The 14,183-nt window shown below is 49.4% G+C and overlaps 1 long non-coding RNA gene across 1 annotated transcript; it reads right to left on the reverse strand.

Annotated features, from left to right (window-relative positions):
• Window positions 1–1,949: 1,949 nt before the first annotated feature.
• Window positions 1,950–10,185, reverse strand: LOC154449 (uncharacterized). The gene is made up of 3 exons (NR_002787.2): window positions 10,032–10,185; window positions 5,986–6,117; window positions 1,950–2,993 (listed from the first exon to the last, which is right to left on the reverse strand). It is a non-coding gene; the product is annotated as an uncharacterized LOC154449 (long non-coding RNA).

Here is a 14,183-nt window from a genome sequence, read left to right on the forward strand (position 1 = left end):
CCTGAGAGCAGCTTTGCTGTCGGTGGTTGGGGCACGGCGGCCCCGTCACTCGCCCCCACTCGCCAAGCATGTGCTGGGCACCCAGCCGAGCACTCACATCCATTATCTTCTTTAATCCTCCCAATACCTTATTAGGGAGATATTTTAATCCCAGGTCACAGAGAAGGGAAGTGTGGCCGATTGTACACAGCGATTACAGACAGAGCCAGGCCTCGGAGCCGTTCTGCACAGCTGTGCCCCAGCCCACAGGTAACCTAAGTGAACTCAACAAACACATTTTAAAGGTGGCCTTTCTCCAGCCTTTGCTCCATCCTTGGCAGCTTTGGCGTCTTCATCTAATACCAATGTCAATCAGCTGTACTTACCAGGCCTAACATGTGCATCGAGTGTTCACTTAAATGACCACTTGGCCCTACACTGCAGCCTGGATTCGCAGCCCCGGCCCACCTGCATGGCTAAGGAGTTCAAGCTGCACAACAACAGAAGTTTCAGATGAACAGAAGGAAGACGCGAAGGTTGGCGGTTTCGCTGGGAGTTAAATCGGCGCAACGATTCCCTAGGAAGTTCAGAACGTCCCTTCCTCAGGCTGTCTCCAAAGACTGCCGTTCAACTAAAGGGCAAGAGTCCGAGGTCAGTCCAGCTCTTCCCTGGCAGCCGTGGGTTGGGGGGCAACCCCAGGCCTCCCCCTCTGCTTATTTTCCTGAAATTCTGTGATTAACGGGAATGTCGGGTGAATGCCTGGATTCTCAGGATTAAGCCTTATTGCAAATCTAGAAGAAATCAGCCCTGCTGAAACACGGCACACCTTCAAACTCCACTGGTGCCGAGTCGTATCCAGCCTTTGTTTGGCATCCCCGGATGCCTGGACCTCTCGCTGGAACTCAACACCCCAAACGCTGCAGGGTGCCCTCTCGCCAGGCTGGAGAGGAACTCAACACCCCGAGCTCTGCAGGGTGCCCTCTCGCCAGGCTGGAGAGGAACTCAACACCCCGAGCTCTGCAGGGTGCCCTCTCGCCAGGCTGGAGAGGAACTCAACACCCCGAGCTCTGCGGGGTGCCCTCTCGCCAGGCTGGAGATGCATCTCAGGCCGCCAGGAACCCGCACTCTGCATCCCACCAACATGGGCATGCCCAGGAGTTGCCCTAACCAAGGAAACACGGAAACATCACCACAGCATCAAAGCCAGCGGCTCTCACACACCGGAGCCCAGAGCCCGGACACAGGGGCAAAGACGAATTGGTCTGAAACGAAAATCCACCAGGATGTGAACCTGTTTTCCCGAAGTTGATGGAGGAAGCCACGGAGCAAGGGTCAGACCTGACATCTGCACTCGCTGAAGGTCACAGGCTGCGGAAATGCCGACGCCGAGTCGCCTCAGGTGCAGGTCCTTGACAGTGCAGTTAGAAACTGCAGCCCCCTCTGCAACCTCAGCGTGGCTCTGCCGTCTCTAACTGCTGCCCAAACCAAGGGTTCCCATTTTTGACCCAGCGTGTTCCCTGTAAAACACTTCCAGATGCTTAGTTGAAATTTCCAAACTATAGGAGAACCAGAGTGTCATCTCCCCTCTCTGTCTGTGAGAGGAAACCTGAGGACCGCAGAGCTGTGTCAGCTGTGGGTTTTATCCCCCTCCGGAATCCCTGGGTCTGCAGCCACAAGCAGGCCAGCAAGTGTCTTCACTGTAATTACCCTTGAGAAGTCACGGATCTCAGCCCACGGCAGGACGGACGCCACTGAGAGCCACAGGGATCCATCTCTTAGCTGAGCAGCCAGGATAATAATTCAAGAAGTGAATTCAAGAGGCGTTAAGTTCATAATAGGATAAAAACGTAAGCCTGTGGCAGCAGGAAAGTGTGCGGAGAGAATGGGGTGTAGTTACTGCTCTTAGCACATGGTGGGTATTGTGGATCTTGTAAATCTGATACAGAAAAAAAACACCTGATACAAATGTTAATTCAGTACGTCTCATCCTTCAAATATACTGACCATGTGTTCAATAAGCACCCAGTGTGTGCCAAGAACCAGGTGGGAAGTGGAGGAAAGCAATGAAAAGACATCACAAGGACCCCGGGGAGCTCGCAGTCCAAAGAGGAGACAGGCACACCACCCAACACTGACCGGCGATGGAGGGTGGAGGGCTTCCCGGAGGAGGTGACTGTGAGCTGGGATTGAAGGATGAATAGGAGTTTCTGTAAGGATAATGGTGTGTTCAGAAAACAATTCACACAACAATATCTCTTCCAGTATGTGCAAGCAGGCAGGAGGTCTCTCCAGCCCAGCCCAGGGATGCTGTGTACAGGATCCATCAAAGTCCCTCCAGCCTGGCCTGGGAATGCTGTGTGCAGGATCCATTGAAGTTGTCTGAGGAGTGGCCAAGCCCAGATCTGGTCCTTCATATCTTCTGACACCCGGGGGCAAACAGGGCCCTGCCCTCACGCAGATACCTCCTGAGTGCCAGATGAGGCTTTTCACTCCAGAACCCTTTTCCTCTGTGGGCCTGGTGGGCACCAGGCTGCAGAAGCTTCTGTGCGGCCGTCTGTCAGCATCCATCTCCAACGCAGGTGGAATGCAGCTCCTTGTCAGGCTGGATTGTCCAGGCCACCCAGTGTCGGGGCCTAGCAGCTTCCTCAGGGCTGTGCAGCCTCACCACGTGCTGCCAAGTCTGGTCTCTGCCTCTGGTCATGCCCACTTCCCACATGGGAGGGTGCAGGTGCCACCCCGGACTCTGGTGCCATGGCCTCCAGCCACTCAAAATGCCCTGTGGAATGTGCCTGTGTGGGTTTAGTGTGTCTTGGTGCTTTGGCAACATGAAGAGCTGTACATTCATTCTTTCTGTAGGAAGCACTTCATATGAGAGACAGAACTCTCTAGAACGCATGACGTACCTCTGAGAAATGGAGAAGACCTGATTCACGCACACGACAGGTGTGATCGAAGGCACTCCAGGCACGAAAATGAAGAAGGAAACTCCCAGCCAGGGGCAGTACTTGTACTTCCTGAAGTTCACCAAGAATAAAACACGATACTCTTACTTCATGATACGGGTCTCTTTCAAAGACTCTAGTGCTCTACAGACACATTATTGCATTTAAGTTAACAAGATTCTATTGGGTAGATACTGTCGTTGATAAATGTTTCTCAGTTTCCATCAGAAAACTGGGCTGTATGAGTTTTGGAGACTAGCCAAAAGTAACAATAAACCAAAAACACATCCTGCCTTCATTACCAGTGTCCACGAGGAACTGCTGTGTTAGGCAATTTAGTATATCGGAAAGCCCCTAGGCGCACTCTCCACCCTCCCTGCCCCTGTGTGAGTGGCGTCCACTGGGATGCCTTCTCTGCAGTGGTCACAGGGAGACACCATGGAACCGAGCCCCTATGTCCTGTGCACCACAACAGCCAGCCGTGACCCACTCCCTCGTCCACGACCATGGAGCCAGCCGTGACCCACTCCCTCGTCCGCGACCATGGAACCGAGCCCCTGTCTCCTGCACACCACACCAGCCAGCCGTGACCCCACTCCCTCGTCCGCGACCATGGAACCGAGCCCCCGTCTCCTGCACACCACACCAGCCAGCCGTGACCCCACTCCCTCGTCCGCGACCATGGAACCGAGCCCCCGTCTCCTGCACACCACACCAGCCAGCCGTGACCCACTCCCTCGTCCGCGACCACGTAGGTCGGACACCTGACTGCCCCACAGTGTTTTTAACCAGAATTCATTTCTGGTGCCCTCTTCTCAGCTGAGGGTGCATTTCTGGGTGATTCTGTTGCCCTCTTTTCTCAGCTGAGGGTGCATTTTTGTCCTTGTCAGTTTTGTCTGTCTGAGACCCAAGATCTCTCTGGACCATGTGTCTCACCTGAGGGGCACAAGCCTGGTGGTGGATTGGCAGAGCAGTGACACAGGTGAGCACCCCGATAGGAAAATCTGAAATCCAGAATGCTCCAAAATCAGAAATGTTTTGAGCCTCGACATGACACCACAAGTGAAAAACTCCACCAGTCCTCATGTGATGGGTCACAGTCAAAACACAGTCAGCACTTTGCTTCATGCACAAATTATTTAAAATGTTACATAAAATGACCTTCAGGCTATGTGTATGAAACATAAATGAATTTCATGTTTAGATTTGGGTCCCGTCTCAAGATATCTCATTATATATATGCAAATATTCCAAAATCCCCCAAAAAATCCAAAAATCAAAGCATTTCTGGTCCCAAGCACTTCAGATAAGAGACCCTCAGCCTGTGCTGAAGTGGCTGCCGCTACCCCTAAAAGAGCAGAACAGTTTCTCACAAGCAAAGCCCCTGGGACCCGGGGGATGGGGAACGAATCTCAACTAGAAGCCCCCTGTGGCACCGAATCTCACCGCCCGCAAGTCCCAGCCTGAGCAGTTTTCCCAGGCCTTCTGAAAGAAGGAAGGCTGCTGTATCTGGCAAGTCGGGGGAGGACTGTTAACCCGGGGGCCTGCTGTAACTCAACGAAACATGGAGAGGAGTTCTGTGCCGACCCCAAAGCAACGCTTCTCCAACGCGAATGTGCAAGAAACCGCCTGGGTCTGCTTAAAATGCGCGTTTGGATTCAGGAGAAACCAGCACCCAGGTGGCGCCGAGGTCGACAGACGCTGGAATCTCATCCCTGAATTCTCAACGTTTGCTTCCCTCAAATAGACTTAGTAGAACGATCATGCGTAATACCTGACTCTATCACTATTCTGAAGACTGATGTGATGTTACATTTCGTATACTTTAAACGTGTTGGAAAACAGAAAAAATGTAAGTTGTGATTGTGAAATGTATTATATGCTGGAATCGCTAGTCCCAGTCACTAAAATTGTGGCACCCCAAAGACACGAGGAGAGAAAGATTAAAAGTGAGACACTCCTCAGTCTTAGTTCTTGTATCTCTCTTTCCTGTTCCTTTATTTATTTCATCTCATGTTTCTCTTCATATGAAACCGTGTGCAAGGTGTAGCTGTACCCCCACCCAGGCCGGTGGAGAGACCCCGTCTTGTTTTGGAGGTTACCTGTGAAAGTCAATGATGCCAGCTACAGACAATAGACTGCATGTTTATTTGGAGTGACTGCATCAAACGGAAACCAAGGTCCTGTCTCCAGGCAGCCAGCTGCTCCCATCTGTCTGTGCCCATGGCACAGGTGGGGCCTTCCGTGGGCTGCAGCCAGCACCAACCAGTACATCTGGTTGACCACAACGGGCAAAAGTAAAACCTCATGCCAATAAATGACCAAATCAAAATAGAATTTCTTTTTCTGGCTGATCTCTGCCACACAAAAACCTATCTTCAGAATTGGCTGAGTCAAGCACCCAGCCTGCCCTTGTCCAGCCCCTGCAAAGGGAGGTAGGATGGAGCCATCTGGCATGGACCACATGCACTGGCCAGTGTGGTCTCTCTACCTCCTGAAGGCCAGCACTTTGAAAACAGCATTGCAGTTTCCGGCTCACACTAAGGAGTCAGTTTGCAGATTCTGCTGGAGGACTGGCCACTATTCGAGATTCTGTAAGATATTCCAAGACATCGAACACATGGTTCCTGCCCTCAAAGAGCTTATAATCTACTCAGGCACAAACATTAAAATGCACACAGCAACATAAGGCTAAATGTAACTACTGCTGGCTTACTCCATAGAACAGGCCCTAACTGCCGAAAAATCTCAGCTGGAGTAGAGGGATTCCTGCCTGGGGTAACAGTAAGCTTCCTATAAACTTATTCACAGCTGGGATCAGCTGAGCCTTGAAAAACAGATAAAATTTGACTCAGAAAGCACTTTTTCTGGGTGGAACACAGGCAGTGACTGAGAATACGAAGTGTGTCTCTACTAAGCACTTTTACACATATTTATCTCGTTTAACCCTCACAGCAGCACTACACACTTGGACCTGGACCTGAGAGAGCCCAGAACCCCAGTAGCAGCTATTATCCCCATGTTTCCAATGGGGAAAGAGTTCTGAGAATTTGAATCACCTCACCAAGGGGACAGAGGTAACGGCAGAGTCACGCTGACCAGCTCCAGAGCCACCGCAGCCCACAGTTTCTATGTGACGCTTCGGCCCTTCTGCTGCTACTGGGGTTCTGGGCTCTCTCAGGTCCAGGTCCAAGACCTAAAGAGAAATAAAACACTCTAAGTGATGTGGGCCAAGCCTCACATGAGTATTACAAAACCAAAGAGGCTTCACAGTCCCCAGGAACCCTGCCCTGCTGCCGAAAACTGGCCACCCCTCGAGGGAAATGACACATAATTCCCTCCAATCTCATCATTAGTGGCCTGCTTGGTTAGCCACGGCCAAAAAGAGGAAATCTCAGGGAAACATTCATTTCTTCTGCCCTAAGCCCTGCAGCCATGATTGCTTTTATAAGCAAATTGTCTGCTTCATAAAAATGTTTACAGCATTTATTATATTTTTCTGATACACAGTTATTGTTTAAAAAAATCTTTTAATTACAGAAAAGGCACAAAGAAGAAAATTAATCCCTAGGCAACTTGTCTGAACCATGTAAAGTCCATACTTGGCCCAGAGCCCTAGACCAATTGACAACTTTGAAGCTTCAGATAAAAGATTAACAAATCCCGAAGGGATAACTGGGCAAGAATGGCGTCAGTGTCTCTGTTAGGACCCACAGCCAGTAAGAAGAGCGTAAGATTCAAGTCGGACGGGTCACGGCACTGCAGGTCACCCACCACATCACCAAGGAACACTTTACCCTGAGTTTCCAGTTTCTCCAACCTGGAGTAAAAAAACCCACCAGCCTTTTAGAATCGTTGTGAGGAGCAGAGACCGTTTACACCAAGCGCCAACTCAGTGCCTGGCACACAGTCAGCAATGATGTTTATCGATCCAGCTTTCTCACAATGCTTTGGAGGCAGAATAATTTTTCGAGAATTTCCATGAGTCTTCCAAAGTTCTGAGTCCTAATGTGAATTTGCAAAAATGAAATTAATTCCTGGCACCTCCTCCCTGCCCTGGGGCCCAGCAAGCCTCCTTCTCAAAGCCCTCAGCAGCCCCAGGAAACCCTGGGGCGTCTGGGCACCTTCTCACTGCACCCCAGTGAGTTCAGGCAGAGGATGACGCAGGCTGCAGATGGCTGGAGCCCATCGACCTTCCTGGAAGTGGAAGTCCTGATGGGAATCCCCGCGCTGTCATCCATCCTCCTTACAGAAAGGGTCAGAGTTCATTACCCATTCCATGCCCTGCAGAAACCAGGGTCTTTACTTTGGGCTGGCATGACATCAAATCAGATTTGCACACTGGTTGACCAACTCAACAGCTCCCTTTGGCAGTTAAGTGTGACTTCCATCAACCAAATGGTAAAACATTAAAGTAAAAATAAATGCAGGTTCTATGGAAAAAACAATTAAAAAATGGCCTTTGATGTTCCCGATATATTCTGACAATCCTAGAGATTTAAAAAGCAGCATAAGGGATTATTTATTACATAAAAAGATCAAACAAATTGATAGAAAAATGTATCGATAAGAAATCCATTAATATGATTTAGATAAACATGAAAGAAAAATTGTAAATCTTAATGAGAAAATAGCCAGACTTGCTCATGGTCAAATAATGTAATTAAATAATCGTTTATTTCATTATGTTACAAAAATGTAATGATAAGTTGTGGTGAAATGTATCCTTATATATTAGTGATACTGAAGCTTGTTCAATGCGGGGAGGAGAGATGTGGCAATGTGTATCAAGAAACAAAATTATGTTTATGTCCTTTGACCCAGTAATTAACATGGCATGAGGGAGGGGCATATATTGGTCATAGTGTCATTTATAGAACAGAGAATTTTCAAAATAAATGCCCGATGAAGTATTAAGCAGACTTTTACAATTATGGTTTTGAAGACTATGTAGCAACTTAGAAATTGCAGATAACATACTGAGTAAAAAGAAAAGCAGAATGTAAAAATCGTTCCTGGACTATGATTGCAACTTTGTAAAAAGTGCACATAGGAAAAAGAAGTGCAAGAAAAATGGCAAATGACTGTGGTTAAGAATACTAGGATTGGGCCGGGCGCAGTGGCTCACTCCTGTAATCCCAGCACTTTGGGAGGCCGAGGCGGGCGGATCACAAGGTCAGGAGATCGAGACCATCCTGGCTAACACAGTGAAATCCCGTCTCTACTAAAAATACAAAAAATTAGCCGGGCGTGGTGGCGGGCACCTGTAGTCCCAGCTACTCGGGAGGCTGAGGCAGGAGAATGGGGTGAACCCGGGAGGCGGAGCTTGCAGTGAGCCGAGATCGCGCCACTGCACTCCAGCCTGGGTGACAGAGCGAGACTCCATTTCAAAAAAAAACAATACTAGGATTGAAGTTTGCTTCCTAACTTCCAGTGACACGGTTTTTTCAATCTAGGATTTAAAACAAAAATTATGCTTTACAGCAAAGGAGAGTTTGGGTTTTCACTCCCGGAGGTGTTCGGAGGCCACCGCAGCCCACACCACGCCCAGGTGGAGCCACCACCTGTGCCTCTGCAGCCACTGATCTGGGAGCTGCCCCCAGAGGCAGCTGTGCAGATAGCAGATACTGCTCCTGGTTGAGGACCAAAATATGAATAAACGGGCTCTTCAAGGACAGCGTGACAATATTAAATAAATGTTGCATAATGCAAACACTGCACCTAGGTAAAGCCACTTACAAAATTGATTTATTTTGATCTGTTTTAAATTTAAAGGTTTGTAATGTGGAATTACCGTGCTGGGTAATTGCCCACACACCACATTCTACTGAGCCGAATGACATTCCATGTATACTTCAGAGCTGTATCTAATTTCTTAAACACAACCTTTTTTTTCAAATTTATGTCACTCCATAAAAAGCAACTCTTTTCACAGTGACAATTGTAAGTAAAAAATATGAAAATATTTTCCGTACCTTTTCCCAAAATTTCACTAAATCTTGAAAACAGACCTTAAGAATATTTTTCCCGCACTTACATATCTCTCTCCTCTGCCACCTCTGCTGCAGGTCTTTTGGACTTGAAGGCCTTGGTTGTATTGGGATTAATAAAATATGTTTATATACATGATTTATAAAAAGTAAAACAAGGTCGGGCATGGTGGCTCATGCCTATAATTCCAACACTGGGAGGCCAAGGCAGGAGGATCACTTGAGGCCAGGAGTTTGAGACCAGCCTTGGCAACATAGTGAGATCCCATCTCTACCAAAGAAAAAAAAATTGTTTTAATGAGCTGGGCATGGTGGTGCCTGTGGTCCTAGCTCCTTGAGAGGCTGAGGCGGGAGGATTGCTTGAGCCCAGGAGGTTGAGGCCGCAATGAGCTGTGATTGCACCCCTGCACTCCCGCCTGGGCAACGGAGCAACACCCTGTGTCTATTTTTTAAAAATAAAAAAGTAAAGCAAGACAACACTATGACTCTCCATCCTAACACAAGTCAAGTCCTGAGCTTCTGTAGAAAGAGCCCACCACGGCCATGCAGGACCTCATGGAGAATCAGCAGGTGCACGGGTGCTCACTGCAGCTCCCGTCTGCATCCTGGAAGCTTTGGGTCTTGGACTAATGAGGACTAAGCCTGCGCAGTCAGTTCTCTCAGCCAGAGACTGAAACCACCACCAAAGAACCTTGAGGAAACGCGCCCATCCTTGCTCCTTGGGAAAATGTGGATAGTTAACGTGACCAAGCAGGACAGCGCGGCAGCCTCCCTCGTGTTAAACCCACGTTGTACTCATCCTGGGGGTGCCTAAAACGTGGCAGCCTCAATTCCTCAATGGCTCTGGGATTCTTGGGAACCGAGGGGAGGGAAGGGTGGTGCTGGCTGCCCGAGGCTCAGCCCTCCAGGCCTTCCCAGAGCGCCAGGGCCGCCACTGCCCTCCTTGGAGCAGCGTTGCATGGCTCCACGAGGACCAGGGTTCGAAAATTTGAGGTGCTGTCTCTCAAGCTCGGAGTTTGCGGGAGCCCTTGCCCCGCCGGCTGCCGTAAAAGCTTTGGTTAAATGCTCTGAACTGAAGGTCCTTCCCGCGCCCCCTCAGAGACTCCAGAGGCACACTCACCCCCAGAGTGAAGCAGCAGACAGAACCCAGGACCTTCTCTGCACTCACACGGGAGAGGAGCATGGACGGGCCTGAGCCTGAAGCGTCGTTTCCTAAAAAGAAGGCGCTGCTCCCGGCCCCCGCACGAGGCCCTGCCGGAGTCTCTGCCAGCACTGCGCCTGCCGCTCTTCCCTCAGCCCCATCGGCAGGAAGTCGGCTCTTTAAAGAGTTTTAAATCAGCAGTAAATCACAGTTTCTAAAGCTGTAGCACTGATTGCAGCGAACCCTCCAGACTGGGCATCACGCGTGCCCGTCAGGAGCAGCAGCCGCTGAGACTGTGATTCTCCTGCAGCTGTGGGGAAACAGAAGTCCAGTGTTTATCCAGATGCATCATTTGCAACTATTCACTCGTGTGAATTAATAACAAGGAAAGCACACATGGTGGGGGGAGCCCGAGCTTCGTCCCCACACAGTGTGCCCCTGCTGTGTGACCTCAGGCCAGTCCCTTGGCTTCTCTGGGCCTCAGCAACTCACGCTTTTTTTTTCTTTAGGGACAGAGACTTGCTTGTTGCCTAGGCTGGAGTATAGTGGTGCAATCATAGCTCACTGCAGCCTTGAACTCCTGGGCTCCAGCCATCCTGCCACCTCAGCTTCCCAAGTAGCTCGGACTACAGGCATGCGCCACCACACCTGGCTAATTTGTGTATCTTTTTTTTTTTTTTTTTTTTTTTTTTTTTTTTAGAGATGGGGTCTTGCCACATTGCCCAGGCTGGGCTTGAACTCCTGGGCTCAAGCAATTCTCCTGCCTCGTCCCAAAGTGTTGGGATTACAGGCGTGAGCCACGGCACGATTCTACTCACACGTTTTGAAGCTTGCCACACTGACGCTGTCTTCTATTCTATTCTCTGCACTAAATTATGAGAAAGAATTGAGATTTTTTTCAGGGATCTAAACCAAATTGTACAGCACTGGTCTACACACATGCACACACACGCCCTGTGAAACAGCTTTTACCTTTCAGAGCATAATCGGGACATTGTAAGGTGTTCTATGTAGTTTTAAAGGAGTGGAGAAGGTACTCACATCCACCAGCAAAGACGTGAGACAAGGGATTCAGGGGCAGGGTGACATTTGGAGGGAAAGGGAAGGGTCCTTCACCCACAGGCCCTGCAGGAAACGCTCGCGGTGGGAGGACCTGGGCTTTGCTCATCACCTCCCTTCTGGTCAGGACCCCACAGCAGGACAGCGTGAGCCCACGTGCTTGTGTTCTGAGCAATGTCACCTCAGCAGATACACAGCAGCCAGGCGGTCCCAGGCTCCACAGGCAGAGACTCAGGTTGGGTGTTGGCTGTTTCTTTTTTCCAATATCCACCTCCCTTGAAATCAGGACTTTGAAACTTAGTTTTGCAGAGATTGTGTTTCCCTGCACTCTACTGAAGTAATTACCAGGTTTTTCCTGACCTTTGCTGACCCCAGGGAAGTGTTTTTATTCACATTTCCATTCTGGGATTTCTGCGATCTCCTGGATCCACTGCCTGCAATTCCTTGGAAAGACCCAAACCGGAGGAGGCAGAGGGTTCCCTTCAGCAAACACGCTGGGCCCCTGCAGTCACAAGGCACAGAGAGCACGAGGGTCCCACGTTCTCCGCACGGTCCCTGCAGTCTGGAGGTGCAGGGAGTGTGTAGCTGTTACACATCCGATGGCAAGGGCGTCGACTGTGATCACGGGGCCTGATGAAATGGATTTAGAATCAGTTTCCCCATCTGTGAACTGAAAGGCTGGGAGAGGTGATTTCTCCACCCAGGGGGCCTCCAGTCCTGGTGCATTGGGGCCATTCTTGGAACACCCAGGGGCCCTTCTAACAGCAGATTAAACATGCACTCACCGGTCCCTGCCACACAGAACATGACACTTCTGCATGAGTGCTGAGGGGTCTGGGTGGGAGCCATGGGCAGCTGACGCCATCAGAAAAAGCTTCCGCATGCAAGGCAGGAGGAGGAGGAATACAGCTGTGTGTTCTGAGAGATGCATGTGAGGTGATTTTGTCACTGTGTTAACATCACTGAGGACACACACACACACCTAGAAGGTGTAGCCCACCGCACACCCAGGCTACGTGCTGGAGGCCGAAGCTCCAGGCTACAAACTCACACAGTGCTGAATACTGCAGCCAATTGTCACACAATGGTAAGTATTTGTGCACCTAAACATATCTAAAAAATAGAAAAGAGGTACAGTAAAAACAAGACATAAAAGATGTAAAGTGGTACGGCCGTGTAAGGCACTTGCCATGAATGAAGCTTGGGCTGGAAGCTGCTCTAGTGAGTCCATGAGTGAGTGGGGAGTGAGTGGGAAGGCCAGGACATGACCGTACACTGCTGTAGGCTTTATACACACTGCACACGCAGGCTGCTCCGGTAAGTCCATGAGTGAGTGGGAAGACCAGGACATGACCGTACACTGCTATAGGCTTTATACACACTGCACACGCAGGCTGCTCCGGTGAGTCCATGAGTGAGTGGGGAGTGAGTGGGAAGGCCAGGACATGACCGTATACTGCTGTAGGCTTTATACACACTGCACATGCAGGCTGCTCCGGTGAGTCCGTGAGTGAGTGGGGAGTGAGTGGGAAGGCCAGGACATGACCGTACACTGCTATAGGCTTTACACACACTGCACACGCAGGCTGCTCCGGTGAGTCCATGAGTGAGTGGAGAGTGAGTGGGAAGCCAGGACATGACCGTGCTGCTGTAGGCTTTACATACACCACACACTTAGGCTACACTAAATCCATTGTTAAAAATTTCCTTCTCTAATAATAAATCAACCTTAGTTTACTGTAACCTTCTTGCTTTATAAACTTTTTAATTTTTTAACTCTTTGACTCTTATAATATGTAGCTTCAAATACAAACATGTTGTACAGCTGCACAAAAATAGTTTCTTTCTTTATATCCTTATTCTATTAGCTTTTTTCTGTTTAAAACATTTTAACTTTTTAAACTTTTTTGTTAAAAAACTAAGACACACACATCATCCTAGGCCTGCATGGAGTCAAGATCATCAATATCACCGTCTTCCCCTCCACATCTGGTCTCACTGGAAGGTCTCTGGGGGCAGTGATGCACAGAGCTGTCGTCTCCTGTGATAACACGGTTTCTCCTGGACGCCTCCCGCAGGACCTGCCTGAGGCTGCTCTACAGTTAACTTTTTTTTTTAATAAATAGAAGGAACGCACTCTAAAATAATGACTAAAAGTTTGGTATAGTAAATACGCACCCGGGAACAAAGTTTATTAACATTATCTGGTCGTGTGTGCTGTGGACGATCACGTGTGCTGGACTTGTGCCCGGCTGGCAGCGCTGTGGACTTGTTCACGCTGGCGTCACACAGGGGCGGGAGCCATGCGTTGTGCTGTGATGTGACAGCCAGGTGACAGCCGAGGGACCAGACGCTTTCAGCTCCATGACAATCTTACGGCGCCACCGCCACCTGTGGGGTGTGCCGTTGACGGCAAAGTCCCTGTTTGGTGCCGGGCTGTATCTGAGCACCTCGGCTCATCCAGAAGGGGTCTAACCAGTCTAAACTTCCGTCTGAAACTGGCCCATTTCATCAGCGTTCTTGGGAAAATGAGGCAAAATAGACTTGGACATTTCAGAGAAAACATTCACAGTGTTAGTACGTTTATCTGACATTATTTACAATCCCTCCGATTACAAGCAGTTAGAAGAGGAGAAGGAGGTCAGCTGGCCGTGGCAGGGAACAGGGCCTCCTCTCCTGATCTTTCCCATCTCAGCAAAATGCCCCATTGTGTGGCTCAGGGGAAGTTGAAGTCGAAAGCCTGGCGTGGGGAAGCAGCTGCTGGGCCATTGTTTAATCTGAGCTAATGCAATGTCACCACGCCCAATTATGTGGCCGCAATTTGGGTTACAGTTGCTTTGGTCAATATGATCACTTTCTTTTTTGTTTTTCAAAGAGGTCAAAGGTTGGGGGCTGGAGGCTGAAGCAGTCAGGCAGTGAGGGGATTGGGGACCCAGAGACTGGTTTCTTGGAAAACACCCCCAGGAAAAAGATACTCTGTCACAAAATATCAATGCCAGCCAGATGTCACCAGTCTTTTTTTTTTTTTTTTTTGCATGTGTTTCTTAACAGCTGGTAAGAATATCAGCTGAA

This window comes from Homo sapiens, chromosome 6, assembly GCF_000001405.40.
Source record: "Homo sapiens chromosome 6, GRCh38.p14 Primary Assembly".
Taxonomy (NCBI): Eukaryota; Metazoa; Chordata; class Mammalia; order Primates; family Hominidae; genus Homo; species Homo sapiens.